At 34.8% G+C, this 27,530-nt stretch overlaps 1 protein-coding gene across 7 annotated transcripts in view; it reads left to right on the top strand.

Annotated features, from left to right (window-relative positions):
- STPG2 (sperm tail PG-rich repeat containing 2) overlaps nt 1-27,530 on the top strand; it is a 702,228-nt gene that overhangs the window by 37,859 nt on the left and 636,839 nt on the right. The window lies entirely within an intron of this gene.

Genomic DNA, 27,530 nt, shown 5'->3' with positions numbered 1-27,530 from the left:
CTGACCCAGTCAGATGTAAGAGGCCTCTAACTGGATCCAAGCCTGTTAATTAAGGGATCAAATCCCATCCTGGACCCAGTCCCATTTCTGTTAAAACGTCCAAACCCAGTTTGGAAGAGAAATTTGCTCAAAGAAACTCAGAGAGCTCAAAACACAAATTCTTGGAGCTCTGAACTTGGGAGAGAGAACTTACCACAACCCTCAGCCGCTCTGAGGAATCAAGGACACAAGTGGGTCCTTGCAGGGTCCTTGCAGCTACCTTGCTTGTTCACTCAGCATTCCTGGGGTCATTAGAAGCTCTACTTTGGACCCCGCTTCTGACACCATCTGTTAAAAGGAAAACTTTAACCGAATTTAAAGGAGTGTGATTGAGCAATAAATGATTTGTGAATTGGGCAGCCCCCAGAATCACAGTAAATTTAGGGAGACTCCAGGGATGCCTTTTGGTCAGAATAAATTTATAGACAAAAACAGGGAAATGACACACAGGAATTGAAAGTGAGATACAGAAACAACTGGATTGGTTATAGCTTGGCATTTGCCTTATTTGAACACAGTTTGAACACTCAGCAGCGTATGAGTCTTTGAAGTATGGCTGCTGGGATTGGCCAAGACTCAGCTATTGTTACAGGTACATACTACTAAGTTAGGTTTTCAATCTTGTCTGCCTATTAAGTTAGGTTGCAGTTTGTCCACAACAATGGTAATACTAGATATCTTGGGGTGTTGGGGAGTAGATGGGGAAACATGTGAATGTTCTAAAAAGCTGAAGATTTGATTGCTTCTTAGTGTGTTCCTTTCTAGTGAGATCTAATGTACAGTTTAAATTTGACCTTACATAAGGGTAATTTACCTCTAATTACATATATGCTCTGAAATACATAATTTAAAAAATGTGAGCTTACCCAGAGGCTTGTTTATTATTAAATGTAATGTGACTCTTTCTTTTGAAAATCAACTCTGTGAAAACAAGTCTGATAAAATAAGAATTTTGAAGTATCAAAGAGAATTTATAATTAAAGCAGAAATGTGAAAGTATTGTTATTTTTGCATATTTAGTATAATATAAAATAAACGCTTTGCTTAAAATTGAAGATTTGTACAATCACTTTTTCTATCACAGTATCTTAAAACTAGAGAAATAAAAATCAGAAGAATCACTTTTTATTTCTTTACCTTATACATAGTAAAAAGAATAAGGAATTAAACTGAATGAACTGGTTAAAATATAGGGGCTTTATTGTATGTAGCATTTTCTCAGTGCTTTATTGTCATAGCAAATATTTGTTCCTAAGGTGTAAAAAATTTTAATTTAAATTTTCAGGCAATGAGGGAAGATGGAACCTTATTCATTCCCTAAATTCCAAATTTTTTGGCTTATAAAATGCTAAATGGTAGTTTCTCCTGATTATTTTGACATGGAACCATTAAATTTTCCATTGTTTTGTTATATACACAACTAAATGCTGACACTGATTGTGCATGTTTGCATGTGTTTGTATAGGCAAGCAAGTAGGAAAAGGCAGGGATGATTTAAAAGTGAATTTGGATGACTGTGTCACTAGCAGAGGTGGTCATCACAGAAGCTACTCATTATGATGAGCAGATAATGAGTTCAGCTTCAGACAATTGAATTTGGAGAAAAATTACCAATGGACAGTAGAAATTTGAAAATAGAATTTGTAATAGAAATTATGGGTAGAGATACTGATTTGGCAGTCATACTCATGAAGGTGATAATTGAAGTAATGAGGTTGCTATAGAAGAGAATACAAAGATGAGAAGAAAATTAAGAACAGATCCTGGAGGAACACAGATTTTGAGAGTGAGGCATGATAGAAGAGCTAGAGGAGAGATAATTAGTGAAGTAGGAAGTGAATTAGAAATTTAGATACCAAGGATAGAGATTCAAAAATGAAAGATTATAGAAATATTTTTATTTTTATTTATTTTATTTTATTTTATTTTATTTTTTTGAGATGGAGTTTTGCTTTTCTTGCCCAGGCTGGAGTGCAATGGTACGATCTCGGCTCACTGCAACCTCCGCCTCCTGGGTTCAAGCGATTCTGCTGCCTCAGCCTCCCAAGTAGCTGGGATTACAGGCGTGCACCACCATGCCTGGCTAATTTTGTATTTTTAGTAGAGACAGGGTTTCTCTATGTTGGTCAGGCTGGTCTCGAACTCCTGACCTCAGGTGATCCACCCACTTCAGCCTCCCAAAGTGCTAGGATTACAGGTGTGAGTCACCACGCCCAGCCCTGAAATATTTTTATAGAAAGATGGTCATGATAGGTTAGTAAATAAAAAAGCAAATGCATAATATGATTTTTATTACTATTAATAAGTGTATGTACATTTAGTCATAGTAAAATATTTATACTGTTTAACTCAAAGTGGTGAAATTATGGGTGACTTTTATCTTTTCTGCTTAGTTGAATTTTCTGTTGTTTTATAATGAACATGTTAATTAAAAAGATAATGAAATTGCAATAACTGTTTAAAAGAAGAGCTCATGGAGAGGAATGCAGGACAAGAACAAGGCTTTATATTTAGTTAATGAAAGGTATTGAGAGAGTATGTATTTTAATTATTGTGAGTATTGAGAGAACAGTTTTTGTAGCAGATAAAAGTTAGATTCCATGGAATAAGGGAAATGGGACCAGGCAATAGAAACATTGAATATATAATATATATGATTATAATTATTTGTTATATATTATATTACATGTTAATATATTACATGATATATTCCATATTAATATACATTATGTTGTATTGTTATATATTAATATATGTTATATATATTATGACAATATTATATATAATATTCAATGCCTCTACCACCTTCTACCACCAGAACTTTGATGGTAAAGGGAAGAAGAAAAATCAGATGGTCGATTGAAAAGATAACAGAATGAGAGACATTTTAATTTTGGGGGGAGCATATTCTTAGAATAGTTGAAGGATCCAGTGGGAATAGAGGAGCTACAGAAATGCATTGAACTGATAATTAATAGGGTAATGTTCAGAAGCAGATGATCAAAGGGACCCAAGGCATAAACAGCTAGTTTATATTAAAGAGGAACAGAAATATCTCTTTTTTTATGAAAAGGAAGAAAGAATGGATGATGAAAGAGATCAGGGATTAGAAAGCTTTTTCTGTAAAGGGGCAGATATTAAATATTTAGAATTCGTGGGTCATATAATCTCTTCCACAGCTACTCAACTGCTGTTGTAGCACAAAAGGAGCCGTGGACAATATATGGATGAATAATATTCCAGTAAAACTTTCATTTACAAAAGCAGACAGTAGCTGGATGTGGGTTACAGGCCACAGTTTGCAGATCCCTGAAAGACAAATATAGAGGCATATAGGAGATCCAGTAATTTTATTTGGATAACCTATGTTGTTCTGGTGATGTATTCAATGAAGTCCTCTTCAGAGGTGAGGGAGGTAGGTATTCAGTAATTGAGAAGAATGGAATACATATCATAATGAATCATAAGGAATGTGACAAATAAGATAAATAAAATAGTTGCAGGTGGAAGAAAAAGATCCCATTTTACAGTGGTTAGCACAAGCTCATTATTGACAATATGAGGGCAAGAGTAGAAACCTGTATTGTAGGGCTAAGCATTGCCAGAGGTTGGAGCTATAAAGATTGTTAAGTGGCAAGGGTTTGAGAGAATCAGAGCTTCCAAGGCCAGTATGGTTAATCTTGGAATCAAGGCTAAGGTCGGGGGGGAGGGGGAAGATAATGAAATCATAAGGGGATTCATGGCTTGTAAGAACAGGGAAGAATTGAGAATTGTGGTTACTGAGGGTAAATGTTAGAGTTCAATGTCATGGAGAAGAAATTGTTTCTAGTGGCCACAAATCTTGAGTGTTTTCTGTCTATAGGTAGCTGAATTGGAGATTAAATTTGTGATCAGGTGATAAGGGAACTGTAAAAATTTTTTTTAGTTCTGTTTACAAAGCTCTCGCAGGAATTGCTACGCTGCTGCTCTTGCGTTGTACTGGGCTATATTTAAGGTTGGGTGATTCTGATGACTGGCCAGTTTTCTGGCTGCTACCTAGAAAATGAGGCTCAAGCTCTTTTTTTTTCTTTCTGGGAATCACAAGCCTATTTTGGATAGATCACTCCTTCACACCTCTCAGCTTAGCACTTAGCCTTGGGATGGGCAAGTAGAAAACTTAGGGCCCATTCTCAAATTATTATGTTTAAATCTTTTGCTTTTCTTCCAACTCCCTTACTCATGGGATCTTTCTCTAGGCAAGGAGAGAAAATGCATGGGAAAAATGTCTCTCCCATGGTGCTTTCTTCTTTTGCTTTCATGCTTGATCCCTAACTTTTTATGATTTCTGGAAATTGTCTCTTATTCTGTATATCTTTCATAGTCTTAGCTGCCTAAATGCAGCTGAACAGAAATGAGAATATGGGAAGAGATTTCAGTGGCAAAGTGCTGCAGAATTTTCAATAGCTGCTATGAACAAAGAAAAAATCTGGTAGGCCAACTGGAGAAATGTCTTAATGTGGGATCCCAGGGGTGGTAAAAGGCAAGAAGAAATAACCAGTTTTAAAGGTCCAAGGAAAATAACACTTTGGAGTACCTCTCCTGCACATTAAGAGCAGCTGAAGGAGGCGGGGTGCAGTGGCTCACGACTGTAATCCCAGCACTTTGGGAGGCCAAGGTGGGCAGATTGCTTGAGGTCAGGAGTTTGAAACCAGCCTGGCCAATATGGTGAAACCTCGTCTCTACTAAAAATACAAAAATTAGTTCAGCATGGTGGCACGTGCCTGTAATCCCAGATACTCAGGAGGCTGAGGCACGAGAATCACTGGAACCTGGGAGGCAGAGGTTGCAGTGAGCCGAGATTGCACCACTGCACTCCAGCCTGGGCGACAGAGCAAGACTCTGTCTCAAAAACAAAAAAAAAAAAAAAAAAAAAAAAAGAAAGAAAAAGAAGATATGACTTGGGAAGGTTGGTAAATTTGGTGTGTGATAGGCCTAATAGCTTCACTCCATTTCTTGGCTCTTTAAGTTCAGCAGATGCACCCTTACAATAGATGGTACATAAAAATGAGTTATAGGTAGTAAGTCCTTGAAATTGTCTTGGAATGCTCTTTGCTTATATTGAACCCATTCCTCTTTCTCTTGTTTCTCAAGATTTCAGATTTCCAGGTTGTTTTGACCCTTAATGCTTAATGGTGTTTTTGTCTGAACTTATGATTAATTTGAATAATATTATTTCTTGTATATGGAATATTTTTTGATATATTTATCTAACATCCTCAATTAAACCATAGTTCTTAGAGGACAAATATCTTACATTCTCTTTTTAAAACATATAGTGAAGTGAGGTACCTATGTTTAGTAATGCTTTCTGAATGAATTAATTACAGATCTGAAAAATGGGCAGTTTTATTTAAAATTTTGAATGTAGAGAAATAATTCTTGGGTTTTTTTTCTTTCTTTGTATTTATCCTATTGCCTAAGCAGTATAGTTTTAAAGTAGTAAAATAGTTTAAAGAGTAAGTGCTATAGTATCATCATTTTTTATGTTTTTAATTTAAAATTTTTGTGGGTACATTGGTATATATATTTATAGGTACATGAGCTATTTTGATATAGGTATGCAATGTGTAATAATCATATCATGGAAAATTGGGTATCCGTCTCCTTAAGCATTTATCCTTTGTGTTATAAACAATCCAATTATACTCTTGTAGTTATTTTAAAATGTACAGGTCAGTTGTTATTGACTATAGTCCCCCTGTTGTGCTATTAAATACTAGGTATTTAAAAACATTAAAAAAAGTTTTTTAGAATTTATTTTGATTTTTAAACTTTGCAGGTACATAGCAGGTATATATATTTTTATGGGGTACATGAGATGTTTTGATACAGGCATGCAATGTGAAATAAGCACATCACAGAGAATGGGTTATCCATCCCCTTAAGTGCATATCCTTTGAGTTATACAATCAAATTGTATTCTCTAAGTTATTTTGAAATGTACAATTAAGTTATTATTGACTCTAATCACCCTATTGTGCTATCAAATAGTAGGCCTTATTCATTCTTTCTATTTATTTTTCGTACCCAGTAACCATCCCCACCTCCTTGTGAGCCTCATCCCCTGGCCATCCCAGCATCTGGTAATCATCCTTCTGTGATCTATCTATGTGAGTTCAGTTGCTTTGATTTTTAGATCTCACAAATAAGTGAGAACATGTGATGTTTGTCTTTCTGTGCCTGGCTTATTTCAGTTAACATAATGACCTCCAGTTCCATCCATGTTGTTGCAAATGACAGAATCTCATTCTTTTGTATGGCTAAATAATTCTCTGTTGTGAATATATACCACATTTTCTTTATCCATTCATCTATTGATGGACACTTAAACTGCTCCCAAATCTTAGCTACTGTCAAGAGTGCTGCTGTAAACATGGGAGTGCATATATCTCTTTGATATATTGATTTCATTTATTTTGGCTGTATGCCTAGCAGTGGGGTTGCTGGTTCATATGGCAGCTCTATTTTTAGTTTTTTTTTTGAGGAACCTCTAAACTGTTCTTCATAGTGGTTACACTAATTTACATTCCCACCATCAGTGTACAAGGGTTTCCTTTCCTCCACATTGCCACCAGCATTTGACTTTTAGAAAAGGCATTTTAACTAGGGTGAGATCATATCTCACTGTAGTTTTGATTTGGATTTCTCTGATGATCAATTATGTTCATCACCTTTTCATAGGCTTGTTGCCATTTGTATTTCTTCTTTTGGGAGCTATCTATTGAAATCTTTTGCCCATTTTTAAATTGGATTATTAGATTTTTCCCTATAGGGTTGTTTGAGCTCCTTATATGTTCTCGTTATGAATCCCTTGTCAGATGGGTTTGCAAATATTTTCTCTCATTCTGTGAGCTGTCTCTTCACTTTGTTGATTGTTTCCTTTGCTGTGCAGAAATCTTTTTAACTTGATGTGATACCATTTGTCCATTTTTGCTTTGGTTACCTGTGCTTGTGGGGTATCATTCAGGAAATCTTTGCCCAGTCCAATGTCCTGGAGAGTTTCTCCAATGTTTTCTTTTAGTAATTTCATACTTTGGAGTCATAGATTTAAGTCTTCAATCCATTTTGATTTGATTTTTGTGTAAGGCAAGAGAGAGAGGTCTAGTTTCATCCTTCTGGATATGGATATCCAGTTTTCCTAGCACCACTTATTGAAGAGACTGTTTTTTCCCCAATGTATGTTCTTAGCACCTTAGTCAAAAATGAGTTCACTATAGGTGTGTGGGTTTTTTTTCCGGGTTCTCTATTCTGTTTCGTTAGTGTACATGTCTGTTTTTATGCCAGTACCATGGTGTTTTGGTTACTGTAGCTCTGTAATATTGAGGTTAGGTAACGTGATTCCTCCAGTTTTGCTCTTTTTGCTTAGGATAGCTTTAGTTATTTGGGTCTTTTGTGATTCCACATACATTTTAGGATGTTTTTTTCTTTTTGTTTCTGTGAAAAATGTCATTGGTATCTTGATAGGGATTGCACTGGCTCTGTAGATTGCTTTGGGTATCATGGGCATTTTAACAGTATTGATTCTTCCAATCGATGAACAAGGAATATCTTTCTATCTTTTGGTGTCTGCTTCAATTTCTTTCATCAGTGTTTTATAGCTTTCATTGCAGAGGTCTTTCACTTCTTTGGTTAAGTTAATTCCTAGGTATTCAATTTTATCTGTGGCTATTGTAAATGGGATTACTTTTTTTGATTTCTTCTTCAGATTGTTCACTGTTGGCATATAGAAACGCTACTGATTTTTATATGTTGATTTTTACCCTGCAACTTTACTGAATTTATCAGTTCAAATAATTTTTTTTGTGGAGTCTTTAGGTTTTCCAGAATATAAGATCATATCGGCAAACAAGGATAATTTGACTTCTTCCTTTCCAGTTCGGATGCCTTTTATTTCTTTCTCTTGTCTGATTTCTCTAGCTAGGACTTCTAGTACTATGTTGAGTAACAGTGGTGAAAGTGGACATCCTTGTCATGTTCCATGTCTTAGAGGAAAGGCTCCCAGTTTTTCCCATTCAGTATGATATTGACTGAGGGTCTGTCATATATGGCTTTTACTATGTTGAGGTATGTTCCTTCTATACCTGGTTTTTTGAGGGTTTTTATCAGGCAAGTATGTTGAACTTTATCAAATGTTTTTTCAGCATCAATTGAAATGACCATATAGTTTTTGTCTTTCATTCTGTTGCTATGAGGTATCACATGCATTGATTTGCATATGTTGAACTGTTCTTGCATCCCTAGGATAAATCCCACTTGGTTATGATGAGTGATCTTTTAAGTATATTGCTGAATATGGTTTGCTAGTATTTGTTGAGGATTTTTGCATCTATGTTCGTCAGGGATATTGACCATCAGGCATAGTTTTGTGTTTTTGATATGTCCTTGTCTGATTTTGGTATCGGGGTAATACTGGCCTCATAGAATGAGTTTGGAAGTAATCTCTTCTTTTCTATTTTTTGGAATAGTTTGAGTAGGATTGATATTAGTTCTTCTTTTAATGTTTGGTAAAATTCAGCAGTGAAGCCATCACGTCCCAGGCTTTTCTTTACTGAGATACTTTTTATTATGGCTTTGATCTTATTACTTGTTCTGTTCAGGTTTTGGATTTCTTTGTGGGTTAACCTTGGTAGGTTGTATGTGTCTAGGAATTTATTCATTTCTTCCGGATTTTCCAATTTACTGGCATATAGTTGCTCATAGTAGCCACTAATGATCCTTTGAATTTCTGCAAATTCATTCCTTTGCATGATCTTTGAATTTTCTTTTTTACCTCTGATTTTATTTATTTGGATCTTCTCTTTTTCATAGTTAGTCTGGCTAAAGGTTTGTCAATTTGTTTATCTTTTCAAAAAACCATTTTTTGTTTCATTAATCTTTTGTATAGTTTTCTTCATTTCAAATTCATTTATTTCTACTCTGATCTTTATTATTTCTTTTCTTTTACTAATTTTGGGTTTGGTTTGCTCTTGCCATTTTAGTTCTTGAAGATGCATCATTAGGTTCTTTATCTGAAATTTTTCTACTTTTTGGTGTAGGGGCTTATTGCTATAAACTTTCCTCTTCTTAATGCTTTTGCTGTATCTCATAGGTTTTGGTATATTTCCATTATCATTTGTTTCAAGATTTTTTTTTTTCTTTTTTTGAGACAGGGTTTCACTCCTGTTACCCAGGCTGGAATGTAGTGGCATAATCATGGCTCACTGCAGCCTTGACTTCCTGGGCTCAGGTGATCCTCCTACCTCAGCTTCCTGAGTAGCTGGGACTACAGGTATATGCTGCCATGCCTGGCTAATTGTTTTTGTGTTTTTGTAGAGACGAAGTCTCCCCATGTTGCCCAGGCTGGTCTTAAACTTCTGGGTTCAAGCAATCCTCCTGCCTTGGCCTCCCAAAGTGCTGGGATTACAGGTGTGAGCCACCATGCTCAGCCCATTTCAAGATATTTTTAAACTTTCTTCTTAATTTCTTCATTGACTCACTGATCATTAAGGAGCATATTGCTTAATTTCCATGTGTTTGTATAGTTTCCAAAATTTCTCTTGTTATTTATTTCCAGTTTTATTCCATTGTTGTCAGAGAAAATACTTGATATGATTTCATTTTTTTGAATTTTCAAAGACTTTTTGTGGACTAACATATAGTCTATTCTTGAGAATGATCTATAGGCTGAGGAGAAGAGTGTGTATTCTGCATTGAGTGAAATGTTCTGTAAATATCTCTAGGTCCACTTGTTCTATAGTGCAGATTAAGTTTGATGTTTCTTTGTTGATTTTCTCTTTGGGAGATCTGTCTGGTGCTGAAAGTGGGGTGTTGAAGTCTCCAGCTGTTATTGTATTGGTGTATATCTTTTCTTTAGCTCTTATAATATTTGCTTTATATATCTGTGTTCTCCCATGTTGGGCACATTTGTATTTATAATCATTTTATCTTCTTGCTAAATTGACCACTTTGTCATTATATAATGACCTTCTTTGTCTCTTCTTACAGTTTTTGTTTTGGAATCCATGTTGACTGATGTAAGTATAGCTACTCTTGCTCTTTTTTGGCTTCCATTGGCATGGTGTGTCTTTTTCCATCCTTTTACTTTCAGTCTCTGTGCATCTTTATAGAAGTGTGTTTCTTGTCGGCAGCATAACACTGGGTCTTTGAAAACATCTGTTCAGCTGCTCTATGTCTTTTAATTGGAGAGTTTAGTCCATTTACATTCAATGTTATTATTGATAAGTAAGGACTGACGTCTGCCATTTTGTTATTTGTTTTCTGGTTGTTTTGTGGTCTTCTCTTCCTTTTTTCATGCCTTCCTGTCTTCCTTTTCGTGGAAGTGATTTTCTTTGGTGGAATGCTTTAATATTTTGCTTATATGTTGTATGTTTTTTGATTTGAGGCTACCATGAGGCTTCCAAATACTATCTTGTAACCCATTATTTTAAACTGTTGTAATTCTAATTATATAAGCAAATAACATGCAGAAATAAACTAATAAAAGCACTACACTTTAATTCTCTGTTTTTTTAACTTTTTGTTGTTTTTCCTTATGTCCTATTGTACTACCTAGGTCTTGTAGTTGTTATTTTTTATTGGTTCATCATTTGGTCTTTATACTTAGTCAAGTATAAGCTTATTTTAACAAGCATAAACAACTATATACTTTGTTAAGTATAACACTGTAATTTCGTGTTTGGGAATTTACCTGATGTTCTATTATACTGTGGCTAAGCTAGCACTCAAACTATAATATGAAGTCCTTCTTGACCTACACTCCCCTTTCCACAGGCAGAGGAGCCTCTCCCTGTGTCCACTACCACCACTGATCCATGGGGGTTTGAGGTGGAGGGGTTGTGCTAGGCCACTGCCAATGTTCACTTAAAGCCCAAGGGCTCTTCTGTCAGTTTGTGATGAATGCTGCCTGGCCTGGGACACACCCTTCAGGTCAGTGGGCTCCCCTCTGACCCAGGGCAGGTCCAGAAATGCTGTCCAAGAGCCTAGGCCTGGACTCGGGGACCCCAAAAGCCTGCTTGTTGCTCTACTCCACTGGTCGAGTTGGTGCGAGACAAAGTCCCCTTTACTCTGCTTTTTAAAAACAGAATGAGTCTTTCACTGTAGCCACCACAGCTGGGAATGTGCTGGGTTGTCACTGAAGCCAGCACATTTCAGAACCCAAGGCACAAGGCAAACTCCCTAGTTATCACTGCTGATTATTCAGGGCCCAAGGGCTCTTTAGTCAGCAGGTAATGAATCATGCCTTTGCTTCAAGGCAGCAGGTTTCCTTTTGGCCCAGGGTGTGTCTAGAAATATCATTCAGGAGCTAGGGCCTGGAATGGAGGCTTCACAACTCTGCTCAATACTCTATCCAAAGTCCTCTTTACTCTTCACTCTCTTTAAGCAGAAGGAAGGAGTCACTTTCATTGCTATAAGCTGCACTGCCTGGGATTGTGGGAGGCACGGCACAAGCTCTCCTTTAGCTGCACCAGCTGGTATCTCCCTAGGTCCTGTGCTATCCTAGCTTCCTGGCTCTAAACCCAGTCTACTACTATGAATTGCCTAGAAATTGCAGTCCTTCTGTCCTAGACTGTCTTTCAAGTTTACTTAGGACCCCAGAGCACTTCACTCCGTGTAACAAGACTTCCTGAGAAACTCTAGTTCCAACCACTGGGATGGGTGATTCCCCTCTGGCTAGGGCTAGTCCAAATGCTCCTTCTATGCATGGGTGCTGGCTGAGCTCAGCATGGCTTTATTCTCCACTCTGACAGGGCAGCACCAAGTTCAATGTAAAGTCCCCCAATTGCTGTGCTTTGCCTCTCCAAAATGTACTGATTCTGTCTCTGTGCTGCATGGCTACAGTTGGGGGATGGGGAAGGAGTGACATCGATGATTCAAGACTATATCCCCTGCCTTCCTCAATGCCTCTTTTAGCGTTATGAAGTCAAAACCATGTACTGTGATTGCCACCTGGGTTTTGGTATTTGTGACGGTGCTTTTCTTCATGTAGATAGTTGTTAAAATTTTGTGTTCCAGCAGGAGAGATGAATGGTGTAGGCTTCTATTCCATCATCTTTATCCCCCTCCTATAGTATCTTTGGATTTAAGCATTTTCTGATATTGCAACAAAATGTGTAATAATATGAATATAATATTTTAATCAATGTGAGTTTTTTAAATCATAACTGTCCTTGAATTTACTTAATTTGTACATGTAGTATTGTTTTAATATATCTTTTGAATATTTATGACATTATAATTTACTGAGAATTCCTGTTAAAAAACACAAATATTAACTTTTATGCAACCTGAATAGTTCACTAAGGAATGTCTTGCCTTTGGCAATGAAAAATTTTTTAGTATCTTTCTTAATATTAACAAAGTCTTTAAGATAAATCTTTACTATGCAAAAACATTTGGTAATTGTTTCTATTGAAGTTCTTTAATTTGGTAATACAAAATATATGAAGTTGCTGTGTTAGCTTTGTATTAGGTCAAATAACTGAGTACAGTTTCACTAGGTGGCGCCAATACTTTGGCTCTTTATTGACATAACACCTTATTTATTCATTCATTTCTCAAATTCATTAAAACAAATGCCTAAAAATTATGTGGCAAGATACGAAAATTTGCCTTGAAGTTCATTTGAGCAAATCCTAAACTGGAAATTTTAGTTCTTTTGGCAGTTCTGCCAAATGAAAATACCTTGGAACTATTTAAAAATATTATTTAGATTCTAGCTGCAAACTAAGTTATTTCTATTCATCTATATAAATTTATCAAAATTATTAGACTTTTAAAAGTTATATTAAAAGATGTTATTTATAGACTAGGTTATTCTCTTGATTAGTATAAAATTTTAGGTTACATAAAATAATTTACTAATATAGATCTTAAATAGAAAGTTTTAGTTTCAAATAAGTAAAATTATGCTAAACAGGTTAATAATAAGGACATGAAAGGGAGAAATAATTTAAAACTTTCTGTGTTTTTTTCTTTAATGGGTGGATTATTCCATTAATTTCAATGTAAACATTTTTACTTTCTTCCTTATCATTGTTAGTCTTTAATATTTATTAAATTATCTGGTTACTTGGCTTTATAACAGGCACTTGGCAATTTATTACTGTTAGTAATATGTGGTAGTGGCCTTGGTTTTGAGGGTGAACAGAGACTTAAGAAGACTTGCACATAATTAAACACGCTTTTCCCCCCAAACCTAAATTAGTTGTTCATGTTACAGTTACTGTATCTCAAATTCTGATTGCTCACTTTTCCCATTTTCTAAGGAAAGTTTTTCAATTTTTAAATTATGGATTTTAAAGAAGTGAAAAAAGTGTCAATAAAGATGGAAGGGTTGAATTATTAAAAGATAAATGGACAAAATTATATGTGAGAGAAGGAGTGAGGAAGAGATTGAAAATATTTAGTTATTGCTTAAACAATAATTCAGTATCTTTTGGGAGAGCACCTTATCTCTTCAAGTCTTATTGTAAAATAGTTTGTACTGCACTGAGTGAGTTTTATATACCAAAGTCATACTCATTCATGGTAAAATTTTAAGATGTGTATAAAATAAATAAAACCTTTTGTATTTATTTATGGTTTAGTGGTAAAGAATTCAGACTTTGGAATCACACTGCATTCAATTTCTTGCTCCATCACATACTAGGTGTGTGATATTTTGCTATTCTAAGCCTCAATATTCTTCCTTTTAAGTCTCTAAAATATGAATAATAATACTCTACAAAAAGGTTATTGTGAGAATCCAATGATATCTGAATATATATGTATATACACACAATGCTTAACACAGTGTCTGACATTTGTTAATATTCAGTAAATGATAGTTATTATTACTCAATGAACAATTAATTGAACACCTATTATATGCTGTGGATAGAAAGATGATGAATAGGGCAAAGCTTCTTGAATCAAGGAGTTCACATTCCTCAATGGAAGATACAAATATCTAAACAATTATACAATGAGATCCAAATAAAGTCAATGAGGCTTAAAAGGAGAAATGCGTTGATTTTGCTTGGGGAATGATAGAAATCAAGAAAGGATTCTAAAGTGTGTTAGAGTTATATTTTGAAGGACAAGTAGCTATTTGTCAGACGGAGTACAACATTCCAGGCAATGAGGATTTGTAAAGCCACGAAGGTGTGAGAAAGCAACTTGTATTTTTATCTATAGGAGATTTTGGGCCGGTAAACATTTTAAGCAGTTGATTCATGAACAGATTTGTAATCTCAGAAAGTTAGAACAGGTAATTGTTAGGCAAATGGATGGGATCTGAGAGTAGAGAGAGAGAGGGAAATCATGAGGTAATGCATAGTGGTTCACATAGTGAATGCCTGTATTAAAATAGTTAAATGAGACTGATAATGAGGGGAAAGTACAAATACTTAGGTGTTAGCATTGATTTTATCTAGTGATTAATTTGATGTGGGAGGATGAGTGAGAAAGGAGTATTGATGATGACTCTTAGATTTTTTGCTTAGAATACTAGGTAAATGATGATATGGAGATTTGGACAGAGAGGATATAAGAAGCATGTGACATTTTGTGTGTGTGTGTATGTATTTGTGTGTGTGTGTAGCTGTGTGTAGTATTGGAGAATCAGGTTATTTTTAGCATCTATTATATAGGCATAAGTGTCTTGAAGGTAGTAAGAAAATTGAGGAGGATCTCAACTAGAGATTTAGGAACCAGCCTTTGCATTAAATTACACAATCTATAGGGATTAGGGACTTAATCTGGGATATTTAGTGGTAAGTGGAGGAAGGGGGACCTAAGAAAGAAATAAAGAAGAAGGATTGAAAGTGTCAGGATTAATAGATGACACAAACAAAAGGAAACATATCCCATGCTGATGGTTGGGGAGAATCAATATTGTGAAAATAACCATGTTGCGCAAAGCAATCTACAGATTCAATGCAATTCCCATCAAAATACCATCATCATTCTTCACAGAATTAAGGTAAACAATTCTGAAATCCATGTGGAACAAAAAAAAAGCCTGCATAGCCAAAGCAATACTAAGCAAAAAGAACAAATCTGGAAGTATCGCATTACCAGACTTCAAATTATACTACAAGCCTATATGTACCAAAAATAAAACATGGTACCAGTATAAAAATAGGCATGTAGACCAATGAAACAGAATAGAAAACCCAGAAATAAAGCCACATACTTACAGCCAACTAACTAATCTTTGACAAAGCATACAAAAACATAAATTGGGAAAGGACAGTCTATTCTATAAATGGTGCTGGGAAAACTGGCAAGCCACATGTAGAAGAATGAAATTGGATCTCCATCTCTCACCTTATACAAAAATCAACTCAAGATGAATCAATGACTTAAATTTAAGACCTGAAACCATAAAAATTCTAGGAAATAACATCAGAAAAACTGCTTTAGACATTGGCTTAGGCAAATAATTCATAACTAAGACCCCAAAAGCAAACGCAACAAAAACAAAGATAAATAAATGGGACCCAATTAAACTAAAAAGTTTCAGCACAGCAAAAGAAATAATCAGCAGAGTAAACAGAAAACCCACAGGGTGGGAGAAAATATTCACAAACCATGCATCTGACAAAGGACTAGTATTCAGAATTTACAAGGAAGTCAAACAAATAAACAAGAAAAAAATAAATACTCCCATCAAAAGGGGGGCAAAGGACATAAGTAGAAATTTATCAAAAGAAGATAGACAAATAACCAACAAACATGAAAAAATGTACATCGCTAATTATCAGGGAAATACGAATTAAAATCACAATGAGATACCACCTTACTCTAGCAAGAATGACCATAATTAGAAAGTAAAAAAAAAAAAAGATGTTGGCATGGATCTAGCGAAAAGGGAATACTTTTTCACTGCTGGTGGGAATGTAAATTAGTACAACCATTGTGGAAACAGTGTGGATATTCCTTAAAAAGCTAAAAGTAGAACTACCATTCAATCCAGCAATCCCACTACTGGGTATCTACCCAAAGGAAAAGAAGTCATTACATGAAAAAAAACACATGCACATGCATGTTTTTAGTAGCACAGTTCGCAATTGCAAAGATATGGAACCAACCTAAGTGCCCATCGACCAACGAGAGGACAAAGAAAATCTGATATATATACACCATGGAATACTACATAGCAACAAAAAGGAACAAATAATGTCTTTTACAGCAACCTGGTTAGAGCTGGAGGCCATTATTCCATGTGAAGTAACACAGGAATGGAAAATCGAATATTGTATGTTCTCACTTATAAGTGGGAGCTAAGCTACGAGGCTGCAAAGGTATAAGAATAATATAATGGACTTTGGGGACTCAGAGGGTAAGGTTGGGAGGGGGGTCATGGATAAAGACTACCTACTGGGTACAGTATACAATGTCTGGGTGATGGGTGCACCAAAATCTCAGAAATCACCACTAAAGAACTTATTCATGTACACAAAATCATCTGTACTCCAAAAACTATTGAAATTAAAAAAAAATGGCAGGATTAGAATGAAGAAGGAGTGATCTCACAGGAGCCAGAGGGGGACTGAATTTCAAGAGAGTTGTTACTACCTGTTTTATATATTAATACCTTGGGTTAGTTAATAAAAGTGGGATCCAAAGGCATCCAATGAACTTTGCAGAAGTTCGATATTATTGGTTACTTTAGCAAAGCACTGGACTAAGTTGAAGACAGCAGATAGCAGTGGATTGAAAAATGGATGGGTGGAAGAGAAGAATGGTTGGATGGAAGAATGGATGGATGGTAGGGAAAAGAATTATATGAATATAAACAGCTCACTCTTTCAGGGAGCTTGCCTGAGATGGAAGGCAGAGAATAAGCTCTTGAATGGCTAGAGTTTTTTTTTTTTTTTTTTTTCCCCTAAAGGAGAGATTTTATAGTCCTTACCAGTATAATTTTCTATGTATATTATTTACCGTTTGCTAATTTAGGAATACTGCCAAAATAAGATCTAGGTTTATGATTTTAAATAACTTAATAATAATTGAATTATTATTATTTAAATTCAAGAAGCATTTATTGAAGTGAGTATTTTGTTCAGCATTACACTAGTTTCATTAGGGTTTTAGAAGCTAAAAAGAAACTTTGTTTTTATTTGTCACCTAGTTGGAGACATACATCACATACAGGAAACAATTAGAAAAAATACATAGTGTCTCCTTTAAACATTTGGTGAATGAATGACATAAATCTCTAAGGTTTAAAAAGAGCATATATGTGAAATATAGGGCTATATTGAGTGAGATAGGCTTTAGTCAGAGAATACTTCTTATCATGAAATACTAAACTATTGTAATCTGATCCTAATTACCTCCCCAACTTCTTCTTTCACAGTTTTTCTGTATGCATCCTATACTTTAGTCACATTGAACTACCTTCAGTTTCCTGAACTTAGCATTATTTCCCTCATCCCATCCCTCTCCCTCTGCATAAGCCAGTCTTTGACCTTGAATGCTCACTTTCTTGTCAGGTGGCTGATTCCTGCTCATTCTTTGAGATTCAACTGCTGGTATTCTACATATATTCCACTCATGGCATTTATGATGTTATATTATTATGGTCTATTCCCATGTCTGTTTCTGCCACCAGATCATTCCATTCTTGGAGTCAGGGATTAGGGCTTATTAATTTTAAATCCCAAACACAAGATGGATTAAAAGAATTATTGGAGGCCGGGCACGGTGGCTCACGCCTGTAATCCCAGCACTTTGGGAGGCCGAGGCGGGCGGATCACAAGGTCAGGAGATTGAGACCATCCTGGCTAACACGGTGAAACCCCGTCTCTACTAAAAATACAAAAAATTAGCCGGGCATAGCGGCGGGCACCTGTAGTCCCAGCTACTCGGGAGGCAGAGGCGGGAGAATGGCGTGAACCCGGGAGGCGGAGCTTGCAGTGAGCCGAGATTGCGGCACTGCATTCCAACCTGAGCGACAGAGCCAGACTCCGTCTCAAAAAAAAAAAAAAAAAAGAAAAAAAGAGAGAATTACTGAATTAAGGGATACAATTATATTGATCTGAATTTTAAAGGAAATCTTGGATTGATGGAGACAGTGGATGAGGGCATTTTGAGTAGAAGTAGAAAACGTGTAGCTGGCAGACTAATATGGTTGGCTAGTGAGACTGTCTTGGTGAGTACTGAGAACCCTGATTAAATAAATAATGGAGGGCTTTTAATAGAAGCTGGGGATGTACAGATTCTATATAAATTATTTTAGTCATTCTTAAGCAGGAAAACGTGAAGTTTTTAGGTTATTCTGATAGTTGTTCATTTTACAGAACTCTCTTGTTGTTCAAATTTAATGCATTCTTGAAAACATGTTGGATAGCATATTTTTGGGTAGCAGGAACCTGTATTCTATTATCTTAAATGAGACGATAATAATATATCCAGCCCATGCAAGATTCTAGGTTGATTCCTTAAATAAAACGCTCTTATGTGTCTGTATAACAATCACCCAAGGATTTCTGAAAGTTATTTAAGACATGTTATTTAATTTTTCAAAAATGTTTATTGAGCTCATTAGTATGTTTGTGTGCTGTTGACAACGATACTATTCTATATCAGATATTATTTTGTAATTTGCAAAAAAATTCTATAATGTAAGTAAACAAAATAGTATGTTATAGATAGTGAAAGTATCTGGATTGTTTGGGTTGGTTGTATCCTTAGTCATTTGGCAGACCAATAAAGTGCTAAGCCTGAGGAGCAGGGAAAGAATGGGAGGAGGAAGAAATATGATAAGATGGTTGCAATAATGCACTATACTTTAAACAAAACCAGTGGCAATATCATCAGGACAATGGTTAAGACTGGAAACTGCTTAGATTTGTGCAGGGCACCTTTTTTTTTTTTTTTTTTTTTCTGGCATGCATCTGTGGATTCATTATAACAGGTTTCTATTTGTCTATTAAGTTTTGGATGTTTGGCAAATCATTATTTAAATATTTGGATTCAGGTAGTGAGAATTTAGATAGTGATGGAGACCTATATTTAATGATTTTCTTTTAAAAATGAAATGAATTTGTTTTGGTGGAGTTGTAGGTGTTTAAAATTTGCTAAATCTTATTATATGTACATTTATATATATGAAGCAGAGTGCTTTCTTACTATTGTGTATTTTTAAAAAATATTTTTCTTCCTCTTTTTTATTTAAAGTCATCAGCACTGAAAAACTATAGCACGGACTTTATGGAAGGCAGATTTTGGTTTGAGTTCTGCTCTAATTTTACCTAGCTGTGGGCCCTTGGGCAAATTACTTAACTTTTATAAGGCTCTTCTGTGAAATGAGGATTATCTTATAGCTTGTGAGAATTAATTTCAACCAGTGCAAATGTGCATACTTTAGTATATATTATAGTGATAAAGCTTACTACTTTATTCAATAATTTATATTTTCTACAATTCTGCAAATATAGCAAGTTTAAATTAATGGTACATATAATACTTTTCTTTTGGATTGTACTCCACTGATACACATTCATTTAACTGAGTCAAGGTGAAACATTTAAATTCTGTTTTAAATTTTTTTATGTGCTCATCTGAGCCGTTGCCTACCTTAACACAAAACTGTTTCATCTTTATACTGGAACAAAATATTTATAAAAGGAACATGAGGACTGTGATAACTACTGATTAGGCTTGATCAATATGTATGGATGTGATAATTTTAATACTCTTGAAGAACCCATATTATAGACTCATTTCCTTGGATTCCTTTTTTAATTTAATGAAATAACATATTATGATTGCTTAGAAAAAAGCTACCGGAACTAATAAGTGAGTATAGGAAGGTCACACAATATGAGATTAACATAGAAAAATAAATTGATTTCAATATTCTAGTAATGGAAAAATAAAATAAAAACACCATTTAAAGTAGCACCTCAAAACATAAAATACTTAGGAATACATTTATCAAATTATGAACAATGCCTCTGCACAAAAAGTATAAAACATTGCTGAGAGGATTCTGAAAAGATCTAAAAAAGTTGAGATATATGCCATATGTTTATGGATTGAAAGATGCAATACTATTAAGATGTCAGTTATTTCCAGATTAATCTACGGATTCAATGTAATAGTATCAACCCAATCAAATTCCTAGCAGAAGTTTTTGCAGAAATAAACTGATTATAATGTTTAGATGGAAAGGTGGCAGATTTATACTACTTGATTTCAAGATTTATAATCAATCAGGTAATCAAGATAGTGTGTTATTAGTATTAGGATAAACATATAGACAGTAAAAATTAGAGAGTACAGAAATAGATGCACACATACAGGTTAACTGATTTTTGACAAAGGTACCAAAATAATTCAAAGAGGATGGAAAGTCTTTGCACAAATAGTGCCAGAACAACTGGATATCCAAAGAAAACCAAACCAAACCAAACCTTAAAACATAATTCATCCCATACAAAAAAATTAATTCAAAATGGGTCATAGATCTATGAAACTTTTGAAAGGAAAAATACTGGAGAAAATCTGTACAATTTTGGGGTAAGAAAATGTTATTTAGATAGGGTACAAAAAGTATGAACCATAAAAGGAAAAAGTTGATAAAGTGGACTTCATCAAAATTAAATACTTATGCTCATTGAGTCATTATTAAGATAATGAAAAGTCTAGCCAAGACTGGGAGACAATATTGCAACATATCTATCTGACAAAATAATTGTATCTAGAATAATAAAGAATTCTTATAACTCAATACGAAGACTAAGAACTCATTAAAAACAGGCAAAATATTTGAACTGGCACTTTATAAAAGAAGACATAAGAATGGCAAATAAGCACAACAAAAGTTGCTCTAAACCGTTTGTCATTAGGAACATGCAAACAAAAATGACAGTGACATACCAAGGCACCCCCATTTAAATGGCTAAAGTAAAAGAGACTGGAAATATCAAATACTCATAGCAATATGTAGCAACTAGAACTCTTCATACATCCCTTATGGGAATGTAAAATAATAAACTCACTCTGGAAAAATTTGGACAGTTTCTTAGAAAGTTAAAATATACATACTGTGTGGTACCACAATTTCACTCCTATTCGTGTAACAGAAATGAAAATATATGTTCACCAAATACTTATACAAATATTTTCATGGCAGCTTTATTTGTTATTATGACTATTTCCCCAAACTGAAAACAACCCAAATGTTAATCAGTAGGGGAATGGATAAACATAAATTGTGGGATATTCATACAATGTAATACTATTTAGCACTATAAAGAACTACCTATAGAATGACTCATTCATAAAACCACATGGCAAATCTCAAAAATATACTCTTGAGCAAAAGAAATCAGACATTAAAAATACTGTATGATTTCATTCATATAAAATTCTAAAAAAGACAAATCTATAATAACAGAAAACAGGGCAGGCAGATAGTTCATGCCTGGAATTCAGCACTTTGGGAGGCTGAGGCAGGAGGATTGCTTGAGCCCAGGAGTTCAAGACCTGGCCTCTGCAAACAAACAAACAAACAACAACAACAAAACAGCTGGGTGGGGTAGCTCATGCCTGTAGTCTCAGCTGCTTGGGAGACTGAGATAGGAGGATTGCTCGAGCCACCCAAGAGTTGGAGGCTGCAGTGACCTGTGCTCATGCCACTGTATGCCAGTCTGGGCAACAGAGTAAGACTGTGTTAAAAACAAAAAAGAAAATAGATTAGCTGTGGAAGAATTGTCTGAGAATTGGCACACGGAAACTTTTGAGGTGATATTAACATTCTATATCTTCATTACGGTGATGGTAATAGAAATTATGGATCTGTCAAAACTCATATTGTTTGCAAATTACATTTGTGCTGTATGTAAATTGTATGATATGTATAGAATATAAGTGGTGAGAAGGCATAGATTTTTGTTTTTCATATTTTGTTCACTGTGGTATCCCCTCTTCCTGGAATACTCCAATATTAATAGAATTGTATATTTGAAGAACGAATTGATAAATGTGATGGAAATTTGGGTTGGATAACCTATAAACACTTGCTTTTTGGCAGTATTTTTATACAGTCTTTTTCTGCTTGTCAATCTTGGGTATTTTCCCCATTATAATAGTGTTTTCATATTTTCCAAGAATTTCTATATATGAAAGGGTTAAGCTCCACCAAAGATTTGCTTGGCTTATTTACACTAAAGGAAAATTTATATCAATGTGACATTCTAATTATTTGGAAAAAATTAATTCTGATATACCTAAATTCTTATTTAGTAGTGAATTCCAAAGTTATCTTTTCATCAGAATTTAAATTCACAGATTTACCATTTATTTTTCAGGATTTTAGTGTTTAAGAGTCATTATTACATGTGTTAGTTTTCTGAGATGGGACTGATTAAGGTCTTGAGAGAAGGCTAGTGGAAGTGGGGTGAAAGAGAAGAAGAAGTGAAGGAGAAGAATGGTACAGGATGATATTGGGAGGTAGACAGAGGCCAAAATAGGGCTTTGTAGGTCTTGATAAGAAATTTTGATCTTATTCTTAGGACAATAAAGGGTTTTATGTAGAAGAGAAACATGCTATTTATACTATAAGGGCACTAGAATGGAGAGATCCAGAGTAGAAGATTATGGCAATAGTGGCAATACACATGGAGTAGATTTATTTAGAGTACTATTTGGATTGTGGTAGAAGGGCTTTGTGTGCCAATGTAAGGGCTTTGTGCTTTACTGTATTGGCAAAAGGGAGTCAATGAAGAGTTTATCAAGAGAGTGGCATGATTAGATTTGTTATTTAGGAAATGTTTGACTTATTAAGAGTGGACCAGCCGGGCGTGGTGGCTCACACCTGTAATCCCAGCACTTTGGGAGGCCGAGGCAGGCGGATCATGAGGTCAAGAGATGGAGACCATCCAGGCCAACGTGGCGAAACCCCGTCTCTACTAAAAATACAAAAAAATTATCCGGGTGTAGTGGCGGGCGCCTGTAGTCCCAGCTACTCGGGGAGCTGAGGCAGGAGAATGGCGTGAACCCGGGAGGCAGAGCTTGCAGTGAGCCGAGATTGAGCCACCGTACTCCAGCCTGGGCGACAAAAAAAAAAAAAAAAAAAAAAAAAAAAAAAAAAAAAAAAAAAAAAAAAAAAAAGTGGACCTGCACATGGGAAAGATGGGAAGAAAAGCGACCAGGTACACGTTTCTTTAATAGTCCAGATAAGAAATGCTGCAGCTCTGGGTCTCCTGTCTGTGGCAGTACTTTTCTCATATTTCCTTTAAAATAAACAAGGTCTTGAGTTGCTCCTTCTGTGTAGGGGTTATAAAGTGGGGTAGGACTAAACCGAGATGTATCCTGGCTTGAGCGCTGTCATAAGGTGAGTGTCTCTTAATGTAGGAAGTGGTTTCAAAATAAAGGCCTAGAGAAATTCCCTGAGGCACTAGAGTAGAACATAGTTGCAGGGGGTTTGCATTGGGTTCAAGTGACCTCATTGGTGGGTTGGAAGTATATTGGTAAGGATGTCTGACTGTCTTCATAACTTTCTCATAAACTTGCTTCCTCCTATGAGACAATGCTTCTCAGTTCTTAATACTTAATTATTGTATTTCTTGGTAAGGGCTTTTAGTATTTACTGCACTTAAACTTTTATCATAGCCTCTATTGAACTAAACTATTTGTCATGGCCCTGTTTATCAGTCTTGGGCTGAACTAATTAATAACTTCTTTTTGCTTCCTTTGCTAAGTTTATAAAGCTCAAGCTTTAATCCCTACTCAGTCTCCTTTATCTTAGTGTTATGCATTAGAAGAGTTTGCAGCATTCTAGCCATCCTCAAGATTGAAATGTTTTCAAGGATTGAAAATACTGACTTTTAAGACAGAGAATCTTGCCCTGCTGGCAAAGATATGGGGAGCCATGACCCATGAACACAAGTCATGTCTCTAAGCAAAATGAAGTGTTTAGCCACGTCTTTAACTTTCAATAAAATCTGATGCCATGTCAGAATAATAGTTCATGTAAAGCTGAATCAAAGCTATCCAGAAATTCTCATGGTTATTTCCATTGCTTATTCTGGGATTCTCCAAATAATGGTCTCCCATCAGTTTTTTTTAAAATTTGTTTTGAAGAAAAATTGATAATTTTTTCACAAGAGAACCCCCTTAGCTTTTATCTCTCATTTTCCCTTGACTCATGCATCTAGAAATGGAAACTCAATGGACGATGACTACCTTGCATTAGGAAAAAATACACTGTATCTTCTGACTTTGAAGGAGTTGTCAGCCAGGGATTACTATCAGGAGGAGGGCTCAACACACACTGATACTCCAAACTGACCTCACAGATAAATCAATATCGTAGTTCCTTAAAAAAGTTGAAGTATTTGCTTTTAATCTAGAACACTTAATTCTGTGTCAACACCCTTGGTTAGCCTCCAGGAGACTTGACCCTCACAGAATACCTTTCATTTCAGTTGATTCTCTTATCTGGAAGTTTTGCAATCATTAATTTTTCCTTGCTCTCAGAGCTGAGGGGACATGGTAGAGGGCAGCAGCTTTGAGAGGCAGGACAAGGACATAAAAGTGGCCAAGGCAGCTTCTAAAATTTAGATAAGGATGGAGGGGAAAGCTCAAAGGTAGAAGCTGATTATTGAGTCTGAGGAATAAGGTTAGATTATTAGTAGGAAAGTGAGGAAATAGTTTAGTATCTAGGAAAATCAATAATTGGTTGGTAAACATAATAAGAAGTGGCTTAGGCAAGGAGTCAGAATGGAGATCATGAATCGTGTAAACATGTTGAGTCCCATTTTAAAGCACTGCTGGTTGCATGTTTTGAAGATGGGCATTATGGCTTAAAGGCTAGACTATATCACACCACTGAACTTGGCACTTCACCTTTTTCTTTTTTTTGAAAAGTACGAAGACATCAACTTATTTTTTCAATGTTTCCAACTCCATTTATCATTTGAGATGGGCCTCCCTTGTTGATAGCCTGCTACACATACATGTATATATGTGTGTATGTATGTATATTTGGTGCATGTGTTCACATGAATTGTGACTGTTAATTATTGGCAGGTAATGAAGTTTAGTCATGGGTACCTACTTCAGTAAACTGATTTGCTGTAAGAATAAGTGGTCCATTTGTGACTGAAGCAACAATAGGTTATCTTAAGTCTTTACATAGAAAGTGAAACTGGCCAGATGTGGTGAGGCATGCCTGTAGTCCTAGCTCCTTGGGCGACTGAGGCAGGTATATTGCTTGAGCCTCAGGAGTTTGAGTACAGCCTGGGCAATGTAGCGAGACCCTGTCTCTAAAAAAAAAGGTAAATAAAGTAAAATTTATAACAATATAGTTTATAAACTATAAGAACTTTAAACTTAATTGAAAATTATTTTACATTAAACAATTTTTACGTAATTTTCTTTATATGTGAAATGTGCTTTTTATGTTGTGTTTTTACTTTTGGATTTTATATATTTACTTTTTATACATACTAATTTTTCTAAGGACCTATTTTAACATTAGATTTTCTTTAAGAGCTTAGGTATAATGTAATACATATTTTATTCTGAAAAACAACTGCATAAGTTATGATTCTTAAGTATTACCCACAGCATATTTCCGAAAGTAAAATGACCATCTCTATAAATTTTTAATAGATATATACATTTTTCATAGATTGGTATCTCTAAGTGAATATTCTTTTTGGAATCTTGAGTAAAATCATTTTATATTGACATTTAAAAATATTTTAAAAGCAACATTTTAGAGAGATTGATATTGATTATAAAATTACATGTAAATGTACCTAAAGAGTTTTATGACATAGAAAATATTACCTTTTTTGTTTCTCATATGGAATATTGCTATATCACATTATGAAGTTGATATCTTGTGGGCCAGTCAGTGGAGAAGTTTTGGAGAAATTAATTTCTCAAAAATGCTAGCAAGGTTATTTTTAAAGACAATCTAATAAACAATAGTAATATTGTTTAAGAATTAATAAAGAGAAGTAGTAAAGAGTGAGTATGTAAGTGAAAGTGAAAAGAATTTCTTGGTAGGACAAATGAGTACCTGAAATACTCATCTTTGCTTTTCAAATTAAACTGTTTAGGTTATCAGTCAGTCAAAAGTGGCAGGTAGTGACCATTAGGAGGATTCATTAACACCCTGCAGCCAGCTTATACTGGGTGACCCACATCTGTCTTCATTAGAAGTTTTATCATTGTCAGTAGTGAACAGATGGATCATTATTGCCAACACTGCCCTTTGGGCCTACCTGGAGGACATGCAAAGTCATCCTATACAGGATACATATCCACATTTGCCTACTATGGTGTGAGAACAATATTTTTTGTAATGGTGATATATTGTTTATTTTAATCAACAGGCTGCCCATGTAGATTAATATTTGTAAACAGTTTATGCAAAAGTATTATTTTGGCAGAGGGAGAAATTATTTAAATGTATATATATAATATAACTATTTTGAGCATCCAAAAAAGCTAGGATATAATTGAATTGTAAATTAGGCATGGGCCAATCATAAATTTTCATTCAGATAATCTGAATTTAGTAGTATATTGAAAGGCTTTAGTAGAAACATAATATGCAATAATATGGTTATTATTCGTGCTTCTACATCATAAATACAGTATATTTCAAGATTTCCTTCCATTATCTAATAGACTTACAATACCTTTTAACATATGATATTAAATTCCAAATTTAAGATATTTAAAATCTTAAAGACATATGTATATATAATCAGTCTAATTGGTTAATATGAAAGGGAAATCATTCTCTTAGTCTTAAAATATGCAATTTTAGCATTGAATTATATCTTTTGAAAGATTGTCTATTTCTTTCTGTGGTGGCAAGCACTTTTGTAAGAGCAGATTAATTCCATTTGTTGTAACATCCTGGGTGTAAATGATGGGAAGATATCAACTGTGCACATTTATCTTTGCACTCTTTGCACACCTGCTTTTCCTTTTTCTTTTCTTTTTTTTTTTTAAATCTATTGCAAGGCTTTGTTCATTAACGTTCAGGGTCACCACAAGTGCCAGCCACTTGTATATACTTAAAACACTGAAATCATGAAAACTATTCTATGAGATAGTTACTCTTTACATAATACTGTAGAATATTGTTTTAAATATAGTATGTTTTATTTAGAAATCTGAAGACTAGGGTCCTGGGGAATTGGAATACTTAGCTATTCAAGGAATTTATTTTTTCCTTAAATGTTATCTGCTAACTAGTGGTGGAATTTATGTTTTTTCATATAAGTTTCCAAGAAAAATATATTATGAAAATTCCCAAATTATAATGATAACAAAGGACCAGATTTCCTTTAACAGTATCCATAGGTGAAGATATTTGCCTAAGGAGTTTAATGAGTGTTTAGTAGAAACACAGTTCCCTACTTTTTGTTCAAAAATGTATGTTTTCTTCATGAGCGTTCTCTTTTGCTCTTTTTTTTCTCTCTCTCTCATTT

The sequence above is a fragment of the Homo sapiens genome, chromosome 4 (genome assembly GCF_000001405.40).
Source record: "Homo sapiens chromosome 4, GRCh38.p14 Primary Assembly".
Taxonomy (NCBI): Eukaryota; Metazoa; Chordata; class Mammalia; order Primates; family Hominidae; genus Homo; species Homo sapiens.
Note: the sequence above shows the minus strand (reverse complement) of the source record. Positions and strands in the feature narration are given on the sequence as shown.